Source organism: Homo sapiens, chromosome 13 (genome assembly GCF_000001405.40).
Source record: "Homo sapiens chromosome 13, GRCh38.p14 Primary Assembly".
Classification (NCBI taxonomy): Eukaryota; Metazoa; Chordata; class Mammalia; order Primates; family Hominidae; genus Homo; species Homo sapiens.
This window is the reverse complement of record NC_000013.11, coordinates 40,763,163-40,789,180: the sequence shown is the minus strand read 5'-3', so window position 1 is coordinate 40,789,180 and position 26,018 is coordinate 40,763,163. Positions and strand designations below refer to the sequence as shown.

The window sequence follows — 26,018 nt, the reverse complement described above, 5'->3', positions numbered from 1 at the left end:
TTAGCTACTTTGACCTTGTTGGGAGGCTAAGGCCTTATTTATAAATTATATTTGAGTACAAAATTATACTCGGGATCCAAGGCCCTAATAGGAAATACAACTAAGTATGAAAATACAGGAATTAGCCGGGCATGGTGGCTCACGCCTGTAATCCCAGCACTGTGGGAGGCCGAGGTAGGCGGATCACCTGAGGTCAGGAGTCCAAGACCAGCCTGGCCAACATGGTGAAACCCCGTGTACTAAAATTACAAAAATTTATCCAGCGTGGTGGTGCGTGTCTGTAACCCCAGCTACTAGGGAGGCTGAGGCAGGAGAATCGCTTGAATCTGGGAGGTGAAGGTTGCAGTGAGCCAAGATTGCATCACTACACTCCAGCCTGGGCTACACAGCGAGACTCCGTTTCATAAAAACAAACAAACAACGACAAAAAAAAAAAGGTGTGGTGACACATGCCTCTATTCTTAGCTATTTGGGAGGCCAAGGCGGGAGGATCGCTTGAGGCCAGGAATTGGAGGCCGCAGTGAGCTATGATGGCACTGTTGCACTCCAGCCTGGATGACAGAGACCTCATCTCTCTCTCTCTCTCTCTCTCACCCACACACACACACACACACACACACACACACCCTCCACACAGTGTAATTTTATTTTACAACTTTAAGCCTTGTTTAGATGTGCTGTTGGATTATTATTTTTTTCTTTTTTTTTCTTTTTTTTTTTGAGACAGAGTCTCACTCTGTCACCCGAGCTGGAGTGCAATGGTGCAATCTCAGCTCACTGCAACCTCCCCCTCCTGGGTTCAAGCGATTCTCCTGCCTTAGCTTCCCAAGTAGCTGGGATTACAGGCATGCGCCACCACACCCAGCTAATTTTGTATTTTTTAGTAGAGACAGGGTTTCACCACCTTGGCCGGGCTGGTCTCGAACTCCTGACCTCAGGTGATCTGCCTGCCTCGGCCTCTCAAAGTGCTGGGATTACACGTGTGAGCCACCACGTCTGGATGTGCTATTGGATAATTACCTACGTTATTTAAGTGATTTAATTGGTGTTAGTGCTTAACATGAATGCACACTTGAGTAGACCTCCCAGGCTGTAGTAGATGCTATGATGGGATCAGAGTGCCTGGTACATGGACACTCATCAGAATCAGCACTTTAGAACTTGGGCTTCTGGACTGTAATCGAGTTACAAAAACAAGCCAGGGAGTTGGGATGACTTGTCCAAAGTGATGGGGAACATAACTAACTGAAAGCAGATCCAGCAGCTGAAACTACAGTTACAGCAGCTTAAAGGGGTTGGCAATGTCACCTGGTCCAATAGCTTTTGCAGCTTCAGAAAATGAGACCCAAAGGAACCCTGATTAAGGACAGACTTGGCTGGGTGTGGTGGCTCATGCCTGTAATCCCAACATGTTGGGAGGCTGAGGCAGGAGGATTGCTTGAGCCCAGGAGTTCGAGTTGAACCTGGGCAACACAGTGATGTAACTGCCCAATGGGTTCTTCTCGCCCGCTGCCTCAACTGAGCCAATTTATCAAGATGGGGGAATTGCAATAGAGAAACAGTTTAATTCACGCAGAACCAGCTGTGCAGGAGACCAGAGTTTTATTATTACTCAAATCAATCTCCCCAAGAATTCGGGGTTTGGAGTTTTTAGGGATAATTTGGTGGGTAGGGGGCCAGTGAGTGGGAGTACTGATTGGTCATGTTGGAGATGAAATCATAGGGAGTCTAAACTGTCCTCTTACGCTGAGTCGGTTCCTGGGTGGGGGCCACAAAACCAGATGAGGCAGTTTATCAATCTGGGTAGTGCCAGCTGATCAATCCATCAAGTACAGGCTCTGCAAAAATATCTCAATCTTATCTGTGATCTTAGGTTTTACAATAGTGATGTCATCCTGAGGAGCTATTTGGGGAGGTTTAGAATCTTGCAGTCTCCAGCTGCATGACTCCTAAACCATAATTTGTAAACTTGTGGCTAATTTGTTAGTCCTACAAGGCGGCCTAGTCCCCAGGCAGGAAGGGGGTTTGTTTTGGGAAAGGGCTGTTGTCGTCTTTGTTTCAACGCTAAACTATAATCTAAGCTCCTCCCAGAGTTAGTTGGGCCTACACCCAGAACAAGGACAGTTTGGAGGTTAGAAGCAAGATAGAGTCAGTTAGGTCAGATCTCTTTGACCATCATAATTTTCTTGGTTATAATTTTTGCAATGACAGTATCAGTGAGCCCCTGTCTTTACTAAAAATCAAAACAAAAAAAAATTTTTTTAAACCTGGTGTGGTGGCGCATGCCTGTAGTCCCAGCTACTGGGGAAGCTGTGGCAAGAGCTCTTGAGCTGTGTTCATGCCACTGCAGTCCAGCCTGGGCGACTGAGCAAGACCCTGTCAAAAAAAAAAAAAAAGGAAAGACCCTGTTATAGATTAGAAAGAGCACTGGACTTGGGGCCAGGATGTTTGTGTAAATGTCCCTGTGTGACCTTTAGTGAGTCACTTAGCCTTTTGTAAACCCCAGCCACAGCATGACTGCATCACTGGTTCCTTTGAACCCCCTGTGTTCCATCAGCCTGCTGGAACAGTCCACCATGCAGGGCGCTTGGTACTCTCCTCGAGCCATTGGGCCCTAGCCTAGTGCTTTCTCTTGTCTTCCTTGAGCCCCTTCCTCTCCTATCCTGACAAGGGCTGTTCCAAACTCTCATCACTCCCAAGCCTTCCACATTTCTCCTCTCCATGCCTCCCAATTTGTTCTATAAGAAACTATCGGAATTTTGCTCAGATTTTTAATCCATAGTCTACAAAGTTACCTTTTTTGGGTTTTTTGCACAAACTCTCATTTATTTGTCTTCTGTCCAACTTAGTTGCTGTGTCCCCTTGCCTAGCCCAATGGCTGGTGAGAATGAGGTTGGAGAAGAAACCAAGGTGTTGGGAGGCCACATTACACAGGCGCTAAGAGAAAAGCAGGGACTCAGCAAAGTTCTGTCCAACTCCAAAGGTCAGGCGCTCAGCTGGTACACTGTGCAGTGCTCCCTCCCAGAGGCTTTTTTTCTTTCTTTCTTTGAGACGGAGTCTTGCTCTGTCGCCTAGGCTGGAGAGCAATGGCGCGATCTCGGCTCACTGCAACCTCTGCCTCCCGGGTTCAAGCAATTATCCTGCCTCAGCCTCCCGAGTAGCTGGGATTGCAGGCGCCCGCCACCATGCCTGGCTAATTTTTTTGTATTTTTAGTAGAGATGGCGTTTCACCATGTTTGCCAGGCTAGTCTTGAACTCCTGACCTCAAGCGATCCGCCTGCCTCGGCCTCCCAAAGTGCTGGGATTACAGGCATGAGCCACTGAGCCCAGCCGAGGCTTCTTATTAAAAGCAAGAGGTGCCAGATGTGGTGGCTCACGCCTGTAATCCCAGTGCTTTGGGAGGCTGAGGCGGGTGGATCACAAGGTCAGGAGTTCAAGACCAGCCTGGTCAATATGGTGAAACCCCGTCTCCACTAAAAATTCAAAAATTTAGCCATGCATGGTGGCAGGTGCCTGTAATCCCAGCTACTTGGGAGGTTGAGGCAGAGAATTGCTTGAACCCAGAAGGTGGAGGTTGCAGTGAGCCGAGATTGGGCCACTGCACTCTGGCCTGGGTGACAGAGCGAGACTCTGTCTCAAAAAAAAGGCAAAAGGGCTGCAGGAACTGGAAGTTCTTTCTTCTGAAATACATCTCCTTCTATAATATTTTATAAAAGTCACCTCCACAGCTTAAAATCCCCCACAACAGTGGCTCTTTCTGCTATCTTTATTTTAGGAAGAAAGAAATAAATATATAGATGTTAAAAATGCTTCCTATCTCTCAGATGCTCAGAGAAGTGATTGTAAAATCATCTGATTGGCACTAAATTAAGAAAGTGTCCATGCAAACTTTGTTCTGAGTGTAATTTCCTAGGAATCCTGGCCGGGTGTGGTGGCTCATGCCTGTAATCCTAGCATCTTTGGAGGCTAATGGGGGTGGATCACCTGAGGTCAGGAGTTTGAGACCAGCGTGACCAACATGGTAAAACCCTGTCTCTACTAAAAATACAGAAATTAGCCGGGCTTGGTGGCACGTGCCTGTAATCCCAGCTACTCGGGAGGCTGAGGCAGGAGAATCGCTTGAACCTGGGAGGCGGAGGTTGCAGTGAGCCAAGATTGTGCGACTGCACTCCAGCCTGGGTGGCAGAGTGAGACTCCATCTCAAAAAAAAAAAAATTCCTAGGAATCCTATGGCCTCTTGAGAACAACATTTTAGAGACATGGATCACTGCTGTCTATAGAGGTAGCTCAATTCAATGGTATTTCAGACCTAGGTTCCAAACAGGAAACACGTCAACACACTGACCTCTCTGCTCCAGGTAACCGTTTGCTGTACTTGGAATTGCACGATTCAGAGATTTCAAAGCAGCTGGCTTTGTGATGGGTGGCAAGTGTGACGCAGGTCAGAGGTGAGAGGACAGACTTGGAATGTCTGCATGGAAAAGCAAGCATTTGCTATTTCAACAAAATTTCACAATGCACTGGTTAATGACACTAAAAGGAGAAATAATTTCACAAAATGTATCCCTGGTTCTTATACCACATGGGGCATGTTTTCACAAAGTGAGTTAATTGGAGTTGCAAGCAGATCAACAGCATAAAACATCTCTGACTCAAATATATTTATAGTTAATAAGAAAGAAAATGGGAGGCTGAGGCCAGCAGATCACCTGAGGTCAGGAGTTTGAGACCAGCCTGGCCAACATGGAGAAACCCCATCTCTACTAAAAATACAAAAATTACCTGGCCATGGTGGCGGGTGCCTGTAATCCCAGCTACTCAGGAGGCTGAGGCAAGCAAATCGCTTGAACCCAGGAGGCGGAGGTTGCAGTGCAGTGAGCTGAGATCGCACCATTGCACTCCAGCCTGGGTGACAGAGCGAGACTCTGTCTCAAAAAAAAAAAAAAAAAAAGAAGAAGAAGAAAACTTGCTTTTGATTATGCAATTTTAGTACCCATTAAATATTCTTGGCTTGCTGATGTAACTTTTATTGAAAACTCCCACAAGTCTTTTTTGGAGTCAGGTAGAATTTATGTTATTTTATTTGTTCCTTTTATTTCTAGTTGACATATAATAATTGTACATATTTGTTGGGTAGAGAGTGATATATTAATACATGTACACAATGTGTAATGGTCAAATCAGGGCAATTAGCATAGGCCTCACCTCAAACATTTCTCATTCTTTGTGTTGGGAACATTCAAAATCTCTTTTCCAGCTCTTGGAACATACACAATAAATTATTGTTAACTATATTCATCCTACAGTGCTAGAATTTGTTCCTCTTATCTAGCTTAAATTTCATCTCTGTTGACCAATCTCTCCCTATCTTTTCCTCCCTCTGCCTTTCCCAGCCTCTAATAACCATAATGGAATTTATATTTTAAATAAATAAACATGGATTTGGATTTCTGTCAGTCTACGTAGAATAAGAGGGCGATCTGCATCCAGTAAAAGACTTGTTAGAACAGTGTTTTGGGGTGGGCAATTTTTATAATTTGTCTTTTCCTTGGCAACGTTTTAATGGTACAGGGAAAGAAATGGCGAGCGGAAGAGGGAGCAGAAGGAAGCAGAAGAGGGAGAGGGAGAAGGCACGAGCTGAGGCACATATTTTATGAGCCTTAAATTTGTTTTTATTTTATTTTATTTCTCTATGTTCCCTCTGACAGTTAATAAGCCTTAAATTTGAATTTGTAAGATATATATTTTTTAAAATATGAAACTTATAATAGCAAATAAGGGAAAATGCTCATAAATGGTTAAAATTTTATGGTTCATCAATAAGAGGAAATACTCTTCTCACATCATATGCTTTAGGACAAGTTGGCCACAATTAACAGAATGCCCAACTATCAGTTTATTTGTTTGTTTAGAGACAGGGTCTTGCTCTGTTGCCCAGGCTGCAGTAGTGGCGTGATCATAGCTCACTGAAGCCTTGAACTCCTGGGTTCAAGCCATCCTCCCACCTCTGCCTCCCCAGTAACTAGGACTATAGGTGTGTGCCACTATGCCCAGCTAATTTTTTTTTTTTTTTAGAGACAGGGGTCTCACTATATTGCCCAGGCTGGTCTCAAACTGCTGGGCTCAAGTGATCTTCCTACCTCAGCTTCCCAAAGTCTTGGGATTACAGGATGAGCCAATGTGCCCAGCCTAGTGTATTTATTTTGAATGTTAAAAAAAATCCTAGAAGTAGGAGGTTCCAGAGCTGGTTAATTTAACAGCTCAATAATATCTGGGGCAGCTTCTCTATGATTCTCCTAGCTTTTCCCTCATGACTACAAGATGGCTGCCACAGCTCTGCCTGTCACATCCTCACAGGCAACATCCAAAGGCAAAAAGGAAGCACGCTCACGTATCTCCCTCTCATCAGGGAAAACAATATTTCCCAGCAGCCCTCTGTCAGGCTTCCTTTTGTATTTCATTGGCCGAGAAATAGGTCTCATGCTCCTCCCAAATATCAACACTTGGAGGAGATTGGTATTAGCATGATTGCTTGAGAACAGGATGAGCAAGCTTCTTCTGAAGAGAACCAGCCAGTAAATATGTCAGGCTTTGCAGGGCGTGCGGTCCCTGTCACATATATTCAGCTCTGCTGTTGTACAGCCAAAGCAGCTAGAGATACCGGAAACAAATACGTATGCCTGTGTTCCAGTGTCTCTGTGGACATTGAAACTTGAATTTTATATATATTTTTACCTGTCGCAAATAATTTTTTTCCCCCAACCATTTAAAACTATAAAAAGCATTTTGTATGGTGTGAGGCCATACAAAAACAGGTGGCAGGCCAGATTTGGCTAGCAGGCTGTAGTTGGTCAACCCCTGGTTTGGAGCAATGAGGACTCATCCCATTGGGGCTGTGGGAGGGTCCACCTTCCTGGAGACATCATCACCCAAACCAGAAAAAAAGAAGGGCAAGGAAAGGGTTGTTGGACAACTGAGAATGTCCCATACAGCATATTAAGGATACAGGAAAATGCTGAGGGATATAGTAATTTTCAAAAAGCGGATTACATGTCATATGCAGGATGATCCCCACCAATTCCGCCTGTTGAAATCCCTGCCATTCACCGAGATCTATGTTAGACGCAGTCACCTCATAGCACCTGTTTCTGATTCCTGGTTCTCGGAAAGCAAATTGGAGCATTCCTTCCTATCAGTAACAAACTTCCCTTTAGTACCTATCCTGTGTTGGATGGTGTCAACCCAAACTAACTGCTGGAAATGCAGAAGTGAAAGAGTCAACGGCTAGCTTGAAAGAAATCATGGCCCAAGCGGAGGAGGAAGAAACAAGCAATTATAATCCAGGGGGGCATGCGGCGAGAGGCGTGTGGGTAGCGAGGGCATCCCAGGGGGGCATAGATGAGGGATGGAATAGAAGGTTTCAGGGGAGGCCCACAGGAGACTTCCACGCCAACATGGATTTTGCAAAGCAAGTGGCCTTTCATTAAGAGGATTAATGTAGGTTGGTGTATCACCTACCACAGGGGCTGGAAGACTTGCAATTAGGCCAGGCTCTTAGTTGTAATCAAGAAAAGCACAAAAAGGATTGATTAAAAGGATTACAAGGATATAGAGTGACTCTTCTGCTTGATGGATGGGGAGGTAAAGTGCTGTGAAGAGCGTCCCGAAACAAGGCCCTACACCCACTGCAGACCTGGGCTGCAGTGGAAGCCACTGCCACTGCCCCTTTAGAGCTCTGGATGTGATGGTTTGTGACGCTGCCCCTTCTTGTGCCAGGGCCACAGCCTGGTAACTATTGCTCCTCCAAAGCCTGGTGCCTGCGTTACCAGCATTGCCTGATACATCACTTCCACACCGCGTCCACTGCCTTGAGTTGCTCATCTCTAAGTTGGTATCTCGTGTAGACGAAGCTGATGGAGGGAGGCTCAGTCATGTGCCTGTACCCTGCTCTGCAAAGAAGCCTGGCCGAGTGAGATCTCTGGCATCTGGCAGGACTCATTCGTGTGTTAGGAAATTCCCAGAACATAGGCAGGGTTTTCAAACCCTGCTAAGCAGCCAGAAAACATGACGCATGTCCACTCTGCATGGACCGAGCATTCCAGTCCGAGGAAACATGCAAAGGCATAGAGGTATGAACCAGCAGAGCACGTTTGGGGAACGGTAGGCAGTTTGGTTCTGCAGGAGAGTAGAGCAGGGAGTGCTGGGAGAGTGGCTTGGAGCAGCCGGCAGGAGTCCCTGCTGAACTCATGCCCCCTGTGGCTTCAACCACAAGTGCAAGTAACTATTTTTTTTTGTTGTTGGGGGGTGGGGGCGAACAGGGCCTTGCTCTGTCACCCAGGCTGGAGTGCAGTGGCATGATCACAGCTCACCGCAGCCTCGAACTCCTGGGCTCAGGCAATCCTCCCACCTCAGTCTCCTGAGTACTACAGGTGTGCACCGCCACCCCCAGATAATTTTTATATTTTTCTGTAAAGATGGGGTTTTGCCATGTCACCCAGGCTGGTCTTGAACTCCTGGTCTCAAGTGATCCTCCTGCCTTGGCCTCCCAAAGTACTAGGATTACAGGTGTGAACTACTCCACCCAGGAAGGGCAAGTGCTTGTATCTTAGCGTTCCCTGCTGAGGCCTAGGAGCTGTGACTTCTCCTTGACTGGCCCAGGGCTCTGCCCCTGGTGAGTTTTAGTATCTGTCTAAAGGGATCATTGTCATAAATCTGTTGAATTGTATCATTGTTGTGAAGTAGCAAGTGTACACAGCTTCTCTCTCTCTCTCTCTCTCCCCTCTCTCTCTCGTGTGTACATATCTGCAATGTACTATTTTATAATTACATTAATAATGGTTCCCCCAGTAAAAATAATCTGAATTTAGACCCTTTGTATCTAAATATTTATATGGCACCCATCACTAGATACTTAGCTGTTTATAAACATTTTTAAAGTGCTTTCATTAAATTAATTATTCTGGTCAAACGTAGGCAGATACAACCATTGAAAGGACACACAAATAAAGGCCCAGCACAGTTGAGACACCACCTTAGGACTTAGCATGAAGGCTCTGGGTCAGACACCTGAAGGGAAAATCCTAGCCTCTCTGCTTCCAGCTGGATGAGTCAGAAAAGTCTCTTGGGGTGGGAATAAGAGGAAAGATCAGGTTCTGCCAGGTGACGCTCTAAGTACTCCCTGCTCCATGCCGCTGCTTCTCAGCTTCATGTGATTGCACCTTTGAGGACTTCCATGGGCCACATTCTAACCTTCTTATTTTATTTTATTAATTAATTTATTTCTAGAGACAAGGTCTCGCTCTCTTGCCCAGGCTGGAGTGCAGTGGCTTGATCATAGCTCACTGCAGCCTCGAGCTCTCAGGTTCAAATGATCCTCCTGCCTCAGCCTCCTAAGTAGCTGAAACTATAGGCATGTGCCACCACACCTGGCCAATTTTTAAATTATTTTGTTGGTGTGTTTGTTTGTAGAGAAGGGGGGGGGGTCCTCATTTTGTTGACCAGGCCGGTCTCGAACTCCTGGCCTCAAATGATCCTCCCATCTCAGCCTCCCAAAGTGCTGAGATTACAGGTATGAGCCACTGTGCCCAGCCCTAACCCTCTTATTTACAATAGTATTCTTTTCGTCACTGTGCCTAAAGTTGTAAAACATGGCCAACTCCCAAATGCACCATCATTCAAAGTATTTTGCCAACCTCTCTGTTCCAATTAAGCACTGGAAATTTGGAGATGAAAAGCCACACCTCATTCCATTCACTAAGAATCACAGAGCCAGGCACAAGGAGCTGGGAGCAGCAGTGCATGGGCACCCAGAGCACCAGGAAAGGGTCTGGAGGGGGCAAGAGCTGAGCCTTGAAGCAGGAGGAGGAGTTAGGCAGGGCAGAAGGAGGGAACACACCATAAGATTGCAAGGAGGTGGGGAAGCCATGACCATGTCCCGTGTCCGGGAGCTACAGGGGCTCTGGTCAGGGTAGGAGGAGAAGTAACAGGAAGGAGACTAGCAAAGGAGGTGGGGCTGATCTCGTGGGGTCTCACAGGCCCTGCTAAGAGAGTGTAGAGTTTCTTTAGAAGATGGTAGAGGGAGCTGCTGAGTGATGCAGACATCATGATGTGAACGTGGCTGTGTGGTGGAGGTTGACAGCATGGACTCTGGGTCGACTGACCAGTCCCCAAAAGCTGGCTCTCCCACCTGATGACTTTGCGATGGTAAGAAGCTCCTGTAAGCCTCAAATTTCTCATCTTAAAAAGAGAAGAATGGGCCGGATGCAATGGCTCACACCTGTAATCCCAGCACTTTGGGAGGCTGAGGCAGGTGGATCTCTTGAGGTCAGGAGTACGAGACCAGCCTGGCCAATATGGTGAAACCCCCGTCTCTACTAAAAATACAAAAAAAAATTAGCCGGGTGTGGTGGCGCACACCTATAGTACCAGCTACTCTGGAGGCTGAGGCAGAAGAATCGCTTGAACCCAGGAGGTCGAGGTTGCAGTGAGCCGAGATTGTGCCACTGCCCTCCAACCTGGGCAAAAGAGTCAGACTCCGTCTTAAAAAAAAAAAAAAAAAAAAGGGAGAATGGTGTTACTTGCCTCAGAAAAATTTGTGAAGATGAGACAATACATATAAAGCACTTATAGCCTCTAGTACTTAGTAAGTGGTCAACAAATGCTAACTATTGTTGTTACTGATCATTTGAATAATAATGATGTATATAATTTGCCTCATTTTTTATAGTTGTGATAATGGAATGAATTAACTTTGTCACGGCAAAAGAAGTTTAAAATGTTAGTTGTGTATCCTGATAGAAAATATAAACTTAAAAATCAATTTTTTTTAGAGATGGGAGTCTTGCTATGTTGCTCAGGCTGGTGTTGAACTCCTGGCATCAAGGTATCCTCTTGCTACAGCCATTGTGCCTGGCTAATATAAACATTTGTTTATTCATTCCACAAATATTGATTGACCATGAAGGATGTACCAGTCACAGTTCTAGGCTCTTGGGATAAAGTAGTGAACAAGGCTGACAGAGGTCCCTGCTCTCCCAGAGCTTACATTCTAGCCGGGAGGCTGATGATGAAAAAGGAAACCATGTAATTCACAAGGCCTGTAAATTCCACTAGGATAGAGAACGTGTTGTATTTGTACCTTGATCTATCTCAACTGCATAAGACAGGGCATATGATCAGGCACTCAAGGAATGTGTTGAATGAATGGAAGATTATTTCAGATAGTGCTGCATGCAGGAAGACAAGGAAACAGCATGACATGACAGAGTGGGAAGGTTGGCTTGGCTAGATGTGGTGCACTCCTGAGAAAGCCCTGCTGAGCTAAAGTGGATGATGTGAAGGAACCAATCGTGGGACAGTCTTTAGAATGGCTATTCCAGGCCAAAGAAGATTCCGTGCCTAAGCTGAAGGCCCGGAGGCAGGGCTGTGCTAGACCTGCACAAAGAAAGATGGAAAGGAATGAATGGACCCCACAGCACAGGGACCAATCATTTGTGGGTGTTTGGCAGACCTGTCTTTTATCTAATAGGAGACTGTTTTTGCCTCCAGAGGGCACTTGAACATAACAAATACATCTAAGGGCCAGCTTGGGTTAGCCCTTAGAGAAGCAGTTTCCCGAAGGCATAACTTGAGAGGGCCAGGAATGCAAAAAGAAAATAATCTCAGACGAAGCCTTTGCTTATTGAAATTTGCAAGCACCTCTTTTAAAAATTAAATTTTCTTGAGATAGTTAGTACAATAAGCTAGCAATGTGGGTTTTCGTACATTAGTGTTAGTTGAATAATATAGCCCTCCCCCTGGTGGACAGATGACAGAGAAGTTTGGCAGGTAGGAGAGGGGACGAAAGGCTAATATAGAGAGGTCTTGGCAAGGGTGTCAGGCCTGGGTGAGACCCAAAGCAAGGAGGCTCTGAGAAGCTAAAAGGCAACATAGAGACAGGCCAAGGGACAGGAGAGAATGAGTACAAGAAGTCAAGAGGATGGGCGGGGGGAACCAGAGTACTTTGATGTACTTTAGAAATTGACCTGAGGACAGTTCTGCCTGGTCATATCTCTGTCATCTCCAAAAATTATGTGCTAAGCACAGTTTCAGCATAGTTCTATGTCATATGCTGTGCCATACACATTAGTGTGACATGATCCTGGTCTTCCATGCACTTAAAATCCAAAGCAACTTTAAACATGAATATACTAAGAATGAGTCATCTTACGTAGAGGGGAAAGACAAGTATCTAGACAATCTAATTTGAAGGGCACGCAACCACTTCCTCTTCCGTCCCATCTCCCGTAAGTTCTGCTGCTGCGGGCCTCTCCGTGCCCCTCCCCCTTACTTTGTCCTTCGGTTTTGGGCACTAAAGACCTTGTGAAGGAGGTAATGGGCTCTAGGAGACTCATCCATCTGGGTGCAACCTCTCTGGGCCCCCACAGCCCAGGCACCTGTTGCATTACATATCTTGTTCTATTACCTGCTCCACATCTGTGATCCCTGCTGGATCAGCAGCCCCTTGAAGCAGGGAGCAAGTCATACTCATCTGTGTATTCCAAGGGGACTAAAGCTACATTTTTCACACAATGTTATACATTTACACTAATATCATCTATCTATATATTATATAAACATGCATGCATGTTCATCTATTGCTTTTTTTTTTTTTTCGAGACAGGATCTTGCTCTGTCACCCAGGCCCGAGTGCAGTGATATGATCACAACTCACTGCAGCCTCCGCCTCCTGGGTGCAAGCAATCCTCCCACCTCAGCCTCCCAAGTAGTTACGACTGCAAGTGCACGCCACCATACCCAGCTAACTTTTTTTGGTATGTTTCGTGGAGATGGGGTTTCCCCATGTTGCCCAGCTGGTCTCTAACTCCTGGGCTCAAGCAATCCACTTGCCTCAGCCTCTTAAAATGTTGTTTTAGGCTGTGTTTGATACTGTAGTTCGATCTGGTTTTTAAGATAGACCAGCTGGAGATATGTATATATATGTGTGTTCCAGAAAGAAAGAAAAAAAGTCTCAACTTGGAAGATGCAGAGACAAAAAAGCTCTTAATCCACCTAGGAAAAAAGATGGGAAATACCACATCCAGTGTAGTACCACACACATCATCCATCACCCAAATCAGGAAGCCTCATGATGAGTTACGTCCCCAGTGAGCCCATCCAGCCTCATTTTCTCCTTCTTTTTGTGACTTCAGCTAGTACACCGCCTTTGGAAAGATGTTCATAATCCGTTAATACTTTTGCTAGTGGAGCCACAAGTAAATTGAAGTAGGTAGCTGAAACTGCTGGACAACTGGGTTTATTCTGCAGGCTTATTTCACAAAGAGCAAACCTCAGAAGACTGGGGCCATTGCTGACCTGGCTAGTTGGATTTTCAAATATTGACCATTCCTGGACTCCTTGCTACAGGGTTTCATACATCTGCTGTGACATCGGACTGATCTTGTTGGATAATTCTGATGTCAATGAGAAAATTAAATGAGATAAGAATGTAAATGGTTTAGTATGCAACGATGGCAGTTAGTGGTATTATTATTCTCATTACCATATTGGGCATGTTTATGCTGCCTCCTGATTTTATTGGAAAAAGTCTTACATGCATTTTTACACAGAGGCATTGAAAGTTAATTCAGAGTTGATTTTAGGGAAAAGGATTACTTTGGACATAAAATATACAGATTTATAGACATATTCATTGGGAAATGAAGTTACATATATGGGCAATTCTAGTGACTGAAAAGCAATTAATAGAATCAATTACATTTGATTGCCTATCAAGTGCATAGACTAAGTATGATGGAAAATGGCATAAAACAAACAGCAGAATATGATACATCTTACTGCACAAGCAAAGTAGCCACAGAGCCTGTAAACCTCACTTGTGCTATGACATTCGTGTTCTGCCATCCTGCCACTTGGGAGAAGGGGCTCATTGTTTTTACCCTTTTGTGACCCACTAGCATGAACTAGTGGCTAGTTTATGCAGATTGGTAGAATAGTTTAAATTGTTCTGAATCTTTCTAGATGTATTATTTACTCACTTAGATCTTTCCAAGACGTATTATTTACTAGCTTTAAAGTGTTTCTAAGAATTAGTATAGTAATTAAGCTTAGAAATGAATCTGGGATACATTAAATATTATGGGAAAGAAGTTCATTGCGATGAAGTGAAATTGCTTGTACCATTAACTAACCTGCTACTTCAATATCTTCGCTGTGATTTTGCAACTTTGTAAGAGTTAGCCTGCTTTAGGCCGGGCACTGTGTGGAGAGAGGCCCAGCCAGCCCCTGTTTCTTCCAGCTATTCCAGCTGAGGTATCAGATGTGTGGGTGAAGAAACCATCCCGGACATTCAGTCTTATCTGATGGCAACCACATGAGGGATCAAAGTAGGGACCACCCAGCTGAGCTGCCCCGTCCACCACAGAACCAGGATAGATAACAAATTGTTGTTTTAAGATACTAAGCGTTAGGATGGTTTGTTGTGCAGCAATGGATAACTGGAATATAGGGTGATTTTGTTTCTTCATTTTCTTGTAAGGCTTGTTGAGTTAATTCGTATAGAATTTTATGAGATAGCTAGGACAAAGTCACCACTCTATATCAGGAGCAATTTCAGTTGATTTTCTATTTCTTGCCTTGTTTCTAAAAAGTGCATTTCCAGGGGTCCCTGGGAAGAAAATGACTGGTGAATCAAATACCATAATAGAAAGTTAGAGGAGGAAAAAATTTTCTACTTTCGGCTTTCTTTTTGTCACTCTCATAAATGATTGCTCTGGAAAAAAAATTACACAAGTCATATTAGTTTTTCAAAGGACAGACTTTTGAAGTTTGGGGGGAATTTATTGAAATTCTCTTCATGATTTAATTTATGGCCAAGTAGAACTATCCTATTAATTCTCTTTTTTTTTAAGTCAAATTTATTTATTTATTTAGAGAGAGGGTTTTGCCCTGTCATCTAGGCTGGAGTGCAGTGGCTCAATCACTGCTCACTGTAGCCTCCACCTTCTGGGCTCAAGCAATCCTCCCACTTCAGCCTCCCAAGTAGCTGAGACCACAGGGGCACCATGCCCAGCTAATTTTTTTATTTTTTGGTAGAGACAGTGTCATGAGTTCAGCTAAAATTCCAGAAGAAGAGAATGGCTATAGGTGGACAACAGCAATCCGTGCCAGAGTGCGACTGGATGGGGCAGGAGACTACATTAACCACGGTGGTCAAAGAAAGCCTCTATTGTAAGAAAGTGATAGTGGAAGGAACCAAATGGTAGAGAAGACTAAATTTCAATTCTGGCTTGTGACCCTCAGCCAGGCACTTTCACATAGTCACGGCCTATCTACCCTTACGGAGCAGGGAGGTAATTTACTGTGTCTGCACTACCTTAGAGTAGATTAAGAACAGGGTAGCTGGGACAAGGTCTTCCCCCAGAGAAACTGAAATTGAGATGGAAGTTTTCATCTTCTTTGTTAAGAGATTTTAGGGTTTTAAAAAACCCATTTGAAGGATATTATAAGAAATCGAAAAAAGATGAGGTAACTATTAAATGTGATCCACATGGACTGCTTATTATACTCAAGAATGGATTTTCCACTGGGTATCAAGTGATATCAAGGAAAGTATGCTGTACTGCTAATATTCTATTTCTTGATCCAGGTGGAGGTTTATATGGGTGAATTAACTCTGTGATCATTCCTTAAACACATTTTTGGTCAGGCACGGTGGCTAATGCTTGTAATCCCAGCACTTTGGGAGGCCAAGATGGGAAGATCACCTGAAATCAAGAGTTCGAGACTAGCCTGGCCAACATAGTGAAATCTGTCTCTGCTAAAAATGCCAAAATTAGCTGGGGGTGGTGGTGCACGCCTGTACTCCCAGCTACTCGGGAGGCTAGGGCAGGAGGATTGCTTGAACCTGGGAGGTGGAGGTTGCAGTGAGCTGAGATAGCACCACTGCACTCCAGCCTCGGTGACAGAGCAAGACTCCATCTCAACAATAACAAAGATACATTTTCATCAACATATTTATAATTCATACACTTTTCTGTATTGAAGTTGCTAAAGTTTATAGGAGGCCGTAGTTTTGGACAAGCTTCCTGTACTAGCCCCCAGCACACCAGAGCAAACCAGAATAGTCACTTGTGCTAAGTGCCAAGTAATCAAACTGAACTTTGAAATCAGGGCCAGTTTTCCAAAAGCAGGAGATTCACAGCACCAATCAGAGGGGCCCTAGTTTACCTGAGCCAGCATGACAAGGAATCCCTCTGTTTTAACCCTATAAGGAAGGTAACTTTGAAATGACCAATCTGATTTTTGTTCCCTGTTTCTATTTTCTTCAACTCTTTTGTGCTTGTAAAGCCAAACCCCTCTGCTCAACTCACTGGAACACTATTCTAGAATCACAAATAAAAACCAATTATGCTAAATTTGCCATAATTTTGTTTTTTGACAAAGTTATGCTTTAATTTTTGTTTGTTTTTTTACAAATCAGACAAAGTAAGCATCCCCAAGTGTACTGTGTAGAGCATTCAGTCACAAAGGTTCTGTTAGTGTTAGTGGATCTCAGGAAGATCTGCTCAATGTAAGCTGTGTTTTAGTATCACAAAAACTCACCTCCCCACCTTGATTATTTTTTGAGAGGACAGGGAAAATGTTGATGTAAACTTTGGAATGCCTTTATGGAATTTTAGGCTAGTGGTTCCCATGTGTCCTATTAGCCAACATTTCCCACCAGATTTATTCTCATCCCCTTCCAAGTTTGGGAACCCCACATCTCTTCTGGGGTCACAGTTCCCTGTTTCATGAGGGACAGGTAAAAGCCAAGTCTCTCTCTTGCATCTTTTCATCCTTTTTTTTTTTTGAGACGGGGTCTCACTCTGTTGCCCAGGCTGGAGTGCAGTGGCACAATCTTGGCTCACTGCAGCTTCCGCCTCCCGGGTTCAAGCTATTCTCCTGCCTCAGCCTCCCGAGTAGCTGGGATTATAGGCACTCGCCACCACGCCAGGTTAATTTTTGCATTTTTAGTAGAGTCAGGGTTTCACTATGTTGACCAGGCTGGTCTTCACCCCTGGCCTCAAGTGATCTGCCCGCCTCGGCTTCCGTAAGTACTGGGATTACAGGTATGAGCCACTGTGCCCCCGGCGTAAATCTTTTTTTCTTTTCTTTTTTGTTTTTTTGAGACAAAGAATCTCGCCCTGTAGCCCAAGCTGGAGTGCAATGGCGCGATCTCGGCTCACTGCAGCCCCCACCTCCCGAGTTCAAGCGCTTCTCCTGCCTCAGCCTCCCCAGTAGCTGGGATTACAGGCGCCCGCCACCACGGCCGGCTAATTGTGTGTGTGTGTGTGTGTGTGTGTTTGTATTTTTTTTTTTTTTTTTTTTTTTTAGTAGAGATGGGGTTTCACCATGTTGGCCAGGCTGGTCTCGCACCCGTGACCTCAAGTGACCCACCCGCCTCGGCCTCCCAAAGTGCTGGGATTACAGGCGTGAGCCACCGTGCCCGGCCATAAAGCTATTTTTGAAAAATGAAACCTATGTCTCATTTTGACTCTACATCAAAAATAAAGACTGAAAGGAAACGCTAATTCATAGGGCAGCAGGTCTTTTAGTAATTTTTTTTAAACCTCTTTGGTGGCCATGGCGCATTTTGAGAACGTGGTGAACGCTGTAGACCCTTCCCCTCCAAACATCGCAAAATATTGTCTGTTAAAGAAGAGACTGATCTCACTGGCACCATCTGTAGTTTTTGCACAACTGGTCACGCCCTCCACTGTCGGGTTCGCCGGTCTGGGACCCGCCTCGGCCAGCGAACCTTTGCTGAACTCTGGCGAGGACTCCGCCTCTAGGACTACAATCGCGGGGTGGGTCGGGTCGCTTGGAGGCAACTGGCTCCGCCCGGCCGCGGGCGAGTCCGGAACACAGTTACCCGCCCCTGTAGCCCACCGGAGCGCAAAGGGGGAGGAAGGCGCCAGGCCGGAAGCGGAAGAGAGGGCGGGGACGTGTTTGGCAGCGGGACGCACCATTTCAGTTGTGTTCTTGGTTCATTTCGTGTCTCGGCGATGTTTCCTAGAGTCTCGACGTTCCTACCTCTTCGCCCCCTTTCCCGCCACCCTTTGTCCTCTGGAAGCCCGGAGACATCAGCGGCTGCGATTATGCTACTCACTGTTCGGCACGGAACAGTCAGGTACCGCAGTTCAGCGCTGTTGGCCCGGTAGGTCCTCAGGCAACCCCGTGCCCCGTCCTGTACATCCTCCGACTTCCTGGGGTCGATGTTACCACCTGCTGGGTCTTAGAAGCTATTGCTTTAAATCTGAGGAAAGAGAAATCCCAGAAAGAAAAGATGACTTGCCCAAGGTCATAGTGTGCGTGAAAACAGAGCTACGATTACAAACCTGGTCGCTGTGCTCTACTACACGCCGCGCCTCATTCCTCTTGTCATCATCTCCTGTCAGTTTACCCAGGTTTTTATCTTTTGCCTCCCAAGATTTATTTGATAGTCTCATTTGTTTTCCTTCATTTATTCTTTAGTTCATTACTGAAAAACTCGAAAAACAGCGTGCCAGTACTGGTTGTAAACCCCAAGTGAGACAGTCCTGCCATCACGGAGCGTGTAGTTCCAGAAAGTAGACAATTCAAGTGCTATGTAGTGAAGTAATAGCTGAGATAGTGTAGGTAAACAGAGTACACTATTCAGCCAACATGAATGAGTACTTGCTGGGATAGCAAATAGGGACACCTAACCATTATAGGGGAGACTCAGGATATCGTTTCTGGAAAAGTCTGACGAAATCTGAAGGAGGACCACTGGTTGAAGTTAGCCAGGAAAAAAGGGAATTGTGGCATACTTGGTTTTGGTATTTATCCTCCGAGAACTTTATTATGAAAACCTAATTCCGCTGCATAAATTCCATGCGTAACACTCAGAAGGCAGTTTGGTTAAGTACAGTGCTGAAGCAGGTTAGTAGCAGTGAAGATGGGAAGGACCAGCTGAATGGAGGAGAAAAATTGCACAGGTAGAATTAAAGGGATGTGACGTCATGGGATAATGGTAGGGTAGTCAGAGATAGCAAAAATTTCAACTGGCTGCGTTGGAGTATTAGGGTATCCTTAATGTTAACAGAAGAATGCGGAGCCAGGCTTGAGAAAGATTTTTCCATATATTATAATTTTTAGAAAACAACAAATACCTGTTTATGTTAGGGGGCCTTTTAATATAGAAAGTGTGAAAAATGGAAAGTCAGTCTGAAAGAGGAGTCTTGAATGTGGTGTTGAAGGTGTTGCATTTGAAGTACTGATGAGCTGCTGTCAGTGGAAACAAACTCAGGTGGGAGGTTAGGTCGAGAGGTTTATTATTTTTAGTGCTAGGGAGTTACTTAGACGTGATTTTCCTATAATGTAGATTGTTTTCTGTGGTATGATAGCAGTCTTGAAAGAAAACATTGTAGTAAAGATTACATGTGAGATTCATTCCCCTGATTACCACTTTTCTATTAAAATACCTTGAATAGTAACTTTAAATGTAAAATAATGACCATTTTCTTAAATAGATTGTACCATATATTGAATATTATAATGAGAGTCCTGTGTACTGATTATGAGGATACTAGTTATGCAGTTGGTTTTTTATTCTAATTTTTAAGTGCCTGATTTGATAGCCTCTGACGTTTTCATAAGCAGATCAAATAGTTTCAGCATTTTTTGAAATTGCCATTTTCTCTTTCATGTAAGTATCCTTAACCTGCGGCTGCCATTTTCTGGCTTTGAGAACTTGATAATATATATATATATATATATATATATATATATATATATATATATATATGGACAGAGTCTTGCTCTGTCGCTTAGGCTGGAGTGCAGTGTGTGATCTCGGCTCACTGCAACCTCTGCTCCCTGGGTTCAAGCGATTCTTCTGCCTCAGCCTCCCAAGTAGCTGGGACTACAGGCACCCACCACCACACCTGGCTAATTTTTGTATTTTTAGTAGAGACTGGATTTCACCATATTGGCCAGGCTGGTCTTGAACTCCTGACCTCATGATCCGCCCACCTCCGCCTCCCAAACTGCTGGAATTACAGGCGTGCACCACCATGCCCAGCTGAACTTGATACAATATTTAACCCAGGGTCTGATACAGGCTCTTGAGCTCACCTGCATGGGAATCACCTGGGGTTTAGTTAAAATGTTAAATTCCAAACTAAGAATTGTGTTTTAAGTCAGCTCCCTATGTGATTTGTATAACCTGTAGAGATTCATAACCACTACTTTAACTTCTGTGGGCAACAGTTTGTACTGTAAAGTGAGAATAATGAAACCTGTTCTGTTAAAGTGTAAGGATTAAGTAACATACATAGCTACTGTAACGTGGTCCTCTGACCAGCAGCGTTAGCGTCACCTGGGAGTTTGTTAGAAATGCAAATTCTCAAGTGTCTCCTGGACAAAGCTGTTGAATCAGAATTCTTTGGTGGGACCAAAGTATGTTTTAGCAAGGAGCATAGATAATTTCTGTGGGCCAGGTGTGGTGGCTCACACCTGTAATCCCAGCACTTTGGGAGGCGGGCAGATCGCTTGAGCCTAGGAATTCAAGCCTGGGCAACATGGCGAAACCCTGTCTCTACAAAAAATTAGTCCCAGTTAGGAGGCTGAGGTGGGAGGATCACCTGAGCTCAGGGAGGTCAAGGCTGCAGTGAGCTGAGATCACACCACTGCACTCCAGCCTGTCTGACAGAGTGAGGCCCTGTCTCAAAAAAAAAAAATTTTTATGCATATTAAAGACTTCCAGGGGATTTAGCGGGGTGATGCCTGTTGGAGGTCAGTGCCCTCCTAGTTGGGGGGTGGGGGCTAAGCTTAAAGTTTGAGAAGCAGTGCTGTAGCACGTCAGCTTCATAAAGGCAGGGACCATGAAATTCTTATTTACTAATATATTGTCAGTACCTAGTATAGTGCCCACCACAGAGTAGATATTCACTATATTTAGCAAATAATTTTTTAATATACCCTCTTACTGAAACTAACACATTCAGAGTTTTGAAAATTCTTCAGTAGTCAAATACCAAAACAAATTTTTAACCCCACAGAATAAAATTGGATATTTGGATTACTTAGAATTAGGAAATCTTTTTGCATGAGTCTAATATAGATGTAATCATTTGTGTTGTTCTTTTTCATAAATGTATCTAGTGAAGAAAGCACAAATGACATTTCTAGCCATTGATTATTCTCTTTTCTGTTCCATTCTAGCTTTCCTTACAAATGGTTATGGGTTAAGTAGCATGTAGCTCGATGACAATGTTGATCAGATTAGATAACACCCACTCAGAAAGTTTTTTTGAAATAATCTTTTTTATTGATAGAAATTTATTTTTGTATTGTTTAATGATAACTTTTAAAGAGGTATTGTGTTAAGAGCAAGGACTTGCAGTCAGTCACATTTGGGTTTGAGAATAATAAATTGTCATTTATTAACCATGTCAGTGTTTTTCTACCCAACCCTGGGGTAAATGGAGGGAGGGAACAGACTTGGGAGCACCAGCACCCCCAGACCTCCCCTGGCCACCCCAAGGACCAAGTGATCAATATCTCAGCACACCTCTACTTATTTGTGGCACACAGTGTGTTTTAGTTCTTAGTGAGCTGTGAGCTACATGACTTTGGGACTTCTCTGATTTTCAGTTTCCTTATCTGCAAAATAGAGACCTTAGGGAGTTAATGTGGGTATGAGAAATGTAAATAAAGTATATTTCACAAGATGAGACATGTAGTATATGCTAATAAATGGTAAGTTGCTGCTGTTATGGTTGTTAACAATAATTATAAAAAGAGACCAGCCTGGCCAACATGGGGAAACCCCATCTTTGCTAAAAATACAAAATTAGCTGGGCATGGTGGCACATGCCTACAATCCTAGCTGCTCGGGAGGTTGAGGCAGGAGAATTGCTTGAACCCTGGAGGCGGGGTTTGCGGTGAGCCAAGATCGCGCCATTGCACTCCAGCCTGGGCAACAAGAGCGAAACTCCGTCTCAAAAAAAAAAAAGCAACGGAAAGGGCTTGAATTGAAAAAAAATCTTAGATACATAGTTTTTTACTTTATTGTAAGTAAGTTTTTTACTTTATTGTAGACTGCATTGTATTTTTCATTTTTTTCTTTAATGCATCTTTCCAGGACAAAAAATAACATCCAAAGATATTTTGGCACTAACAGTGTGATCTGTAGCAAGAAAGATAAGCAGTCTGTTCGAACTGAGGAGACTTCCAAGGAGACTTCAGAGAGCCAAGACAGTGAAAAGGAAAATACGAAAAAAGACTTGTTAGGCATTATTAAGGGCATGAAAGTTGAATTAAGCACAGTAAATGTACGAACAACAAAGCCCCCCAAAAGAAGACCACTTAAAAGTTTGGAAGCTACACTTGGCAGGCTTCGAAGAGCTACAGAATATGCTCCAAAGAAGAGGTAAATTTAATTGTAATTCAGATGTTGTTTGAAACTCCAGTAAGCTTTTTGTTTTGGTAAAAAATATTTTTAATACAAGTACTTGGGAAATGTTGAATTAATGAAGAATAAATATCAGCTTGTAAACACAGGGACTCTAATAATTACTCGAGGCTGGGCATGGTGGCTCACACCTGTAATCCCAGCACTTTGGGAGGACGAGGCGGGCGGATCACTTGAGGTCAGGAGTTTGGAGACCAGCCTGGCCAACATGGTGAAACCCCGTCTCTACTAAAACTACAAAAGTCAGCTGGGCATGGTGGTGCGTGCTTGTAATCCCAGCAACTTGGGAGGCTGAGGCAGGAGGACTGTTTGAACCCAGGAGGCAGAGGTTGCAGTGAGCCAAGAATTGTGCCACTGCACTCCAGCCTGGGGGATCAAGCGAGACTCTGTCTCAAACAACAACAACAACAAAATAATAATTACTTGAGAAATGCTGTTATTGTATTATATTTAAATAACAAGAGGATATCTGTACACAATCCAGAGAAAGGAAAGGAGAAATGATCTCATTGAGAATTTCACACACTTACATATTTATCAGTGTTATTAACTGCCATGTAATTGCCTCTTTAAGCTGTTAATTAACAATATCATTTACATCTTGATTTGAAGGTAGCTTAATGTCTGTAAAGGACTTGCTTATTTAAAATTTTCCATTTTAAAGATTTCTGGAATAAAGTTTTAGCATGTTGATTACAATTGCTTTATATGACTTCCCTTGATCAATACCTATCAGTGCTTTCAGCTTTCTTGGTAGTTTCCTCAGAGTATTAAAATTATTTGTGTTTGTCAAAAGAGTATTATATTTAATTCTAAATGCAATCAGTGATACTTGGCATTGTGTGGTAGGTTAAATGGCAGTATTTTTTTTAGTGCTATGTAATGATGTATTTCAATGATGTCATTAATTCAAGTAGTAAGCTATGTGGCTTTAGGATACTCATCACTGACTTCTGTTACCAGAACAAACAGATTTTAATAGTCTTCTGTTTCCCAAACTGATTTAACATTTTAATGGAACTTCTTGGTTTCTACGTTATATCAAAAATACCTCTAGAAAGTATGATTGGGTAGTAGAGTAAGCTAATTCAGACTATCAGTACCCATAATAGGTACTTCCTCCTCCTCCTCCTGCTTTTAGAAACAAAATGGTTATATATAAGTATATGGAAATAAATAATACAAACATATATAAATACTTTTCAAGAATGGCATTTTTAAAGCTCCTAGACCTGTTTATGATCCATCATGCTCTTTATTATAATTATAATTGAATTAACGATTACAGAAATGGTAAAGTGAGTTGAATGCTTTGGAAAGAGTCAGTAAAGGTCATTTAAAATTTTTCTTTCCAATTAGGTATGAGTGAGGCAAACATACATGTGTGGGAAGATCATACACTTAGATTGCTTTGTAAGCTTTCTTACATTCTTGCTCCACTTTTCCACTTAAACTGAAATTGAAAATACTGGAGGATGGGTGTGATGTATATAAAAGATGTGTCTTAGAACCTCTATTAGTGGTCCTATGTTCAAAGAAGAGGCTTTGGTCCCACATCAAAAGACTGGTGAATGAGGTACATTTGTTTTGAGTTTTAAAAAGGTGTCTTTTAATGATTTTTTCCTCCCCTCCCTCTTTTTCAAGGACTCCAAGGTGCACGGGATTAGGTTAGTCATGATCTTTGCTTCATGAGACACTGTCATCATTGCTTCATACATAGACTGCTTTTCTTTGTTTGTATTAAATATTGAACCTTCATTGATATGGTTACCATGGCTACACTACCTCCCAAACTTAGTGGCATAAAACATTCATTCATTATGCTCACAGATTCTGTGGGTTAGCGATTTGACTAGAACACAGTGGGGGAAGGCCAATCTGTGCTCTGTGATGTCTGGGGCCTCAGTTGGAAGACTTAGAAGTCTGAGGCTGGAATTGTCTGAAGTTTGCTCACTCATAGGTCTGGCAGTTGCTGCTGGCTGTCAGCTGAGACCTTATTAGCAGAAACACCTACATGTGGCTTTCTTTGTGGGCTGGGCTTTATCCCTGCATGGTGGCTGGGTTCCAGGGCGGGTGTCTCAAGAGAAAGTGAGCCAAGAGAAAGTTGTATTTTCTTTTTAATGACCTAGCCTTGTAATAAGATTGGACATTACCGTGTTTACCCTTGTTCCACATTGATTTTCCTGGGATATTTGTTTTTATCACAACCACTCCTGAGAAACAATCTTGACAAAGATATAATGTCATTGATAGGAATGGAGCAATATACAGTTGGTCCTCTGTATGTGCAGGTTCTGTATCCACAGATTCAACCAATTTCTGATTGAAAATATTAAAAAAAAATACAATATAACTACTTACATAATTAGGTATTATAAGTAATCTAGAGATAATTTAAAAGTATTCGGAGGATGTGCATTACTTATATGCAGGTACTCTGCCATTTTATGTAAGGGGCTTGTGCATCCATCCTGGTGGGGGCCAGAGCTGTTCCTGGAAACAATGCCTGTATCCCACGGCCCCACCTCCCCCCAACCCCTGCAGATATGAAGGGACTGCTGTAATGTTACTGTGAACTGCCTAATTTACATCATTATTGACATGGTTGTATTTTCCTGTGCTGCCCCAGAGTACCTTAGGACACAGTTTGGGAGCCAGGGTCCCAGGTGGAGAGCTTGTGTCTTCTCTACTCATCTTTAGCTAAGCTAGATTCCGGGCTGGGATCTGGAATCGTCTGAGGGCCCTTTTCCAGTAGTTGATACTGGCTGTTGGCTGAGGCTTTAGCTAGGGCTCTTGGCCAGTACACTTACCCATGGCCTTTCCATGTGGCCTGGGTTTCTTGCCTGGTAGCTGGGTTCCGCAGACAAATGTCTTGAGAGATGGAAGTGAAAGCTGTATCACATTATTTGATCTAGCCTCAGAAGTTGCAGTGTGTTACCTCTATCTTGTTCTGTTCATCAAGGCAGTCACAAAGTTTCCCCTGGTTTTCAGGGAGGGAAGATAGATCTCCCTTTTGATGGATATATGGCAATGTGTTGGAAGAGCATGTGGAACCAGAAGTAATGCTGTCACTATTTTCTGAAAGTATAATCTGCTTATCAGGTACATCTGGTACCTGATAACTGTAGAATTTCAGCTATACTATAGGCAACATTGTCATGACAAAATTGACCCCTAATTCATAGATTGCATCTGGCCTGGGAGAACTACGGGTACCTGATGGGGATACCATATTTAGGACTTAAATGCAGTGATTCTTCTTACTGCACGTCTTTTGCAGGGACCCTGGAAACTGCATGTGGCCCTGTTACAAGAGATACTGGCTGCTGTGGGGCAGTAAGCCAGGCAGCTTGCAGATCTCATATCCTTACTCTAAGATGATTGACTGTGTGAAGTGTCACCTGCATGAACACTACAATAACTCCCACTGAGAAGGAGACCCAAGGCTGCCCTGCCAGCCTGCTGTGGTTCTGTCTTTCATCTTCCCGAATGGACTGGGCCAGGTGTCACCTGTAGTGGTCCTTTGGGTCTGAATGTTTAG

The 26,018-nt window shown here is 43.7% G+C and overlaps 1 protein-coding gene across 2 annotated transcripts in view, besides 2 other annotated features; it reads left to right on the top strand.

The window, feature by feature from the left end:
* Positions 11,885 to 11,934: an enhancer, noted in NCBI's record as "active region_7615". NCBI's record gives its function as "activates an Ori minimal core promoter by ATAC-STARR-seq in GM12878 lymphoblastoid cells {active_cell/tissue: GM12878}" and the evidence as "EXISTENCE:reporter gene assay evidence [ECO:0000049][PMID:35858748]".
* Positions 17,933 to 18,102: an enhancer, noted in NCBI's record as "active region_7614". NCBI's record gives its function as "activates an Ori minimal core promoter by ATAC-STARR-seq in GM12878 lymphoblastoid cells {active_cell/tissue: GM12878}" and the evidence as "EXISTENCE:reporter gene assay evidence [ECO:0000049][PMID:35858748]".
* Positions 17,991 to 26,018, top strand: part of MRPS31 (mitochondrial ribosomal protein S31) — a 42,063-nt gene continuing 34,035 nt past the window's right edge. For both annotated transcript variants that reach the window (XR_007063654.1, NM_005830.4), the window contains exons 1-2: positions 17,991 to 18,196; positions 22,148 to 22,435. Coding sequence is in view for 1 of the 2 variants with exons in the window: in NM_005830.4 (NP_005821.2) it covers positions 18,045 to 18,196; positions 22,148 to 22,435 (440 nt within the window). In the remaining variant the exon portion in view is untranslated. The remainder of the gene's footprint in view (positions 18,197 to 22,147; positions 22,436 to 26,018) is intronic.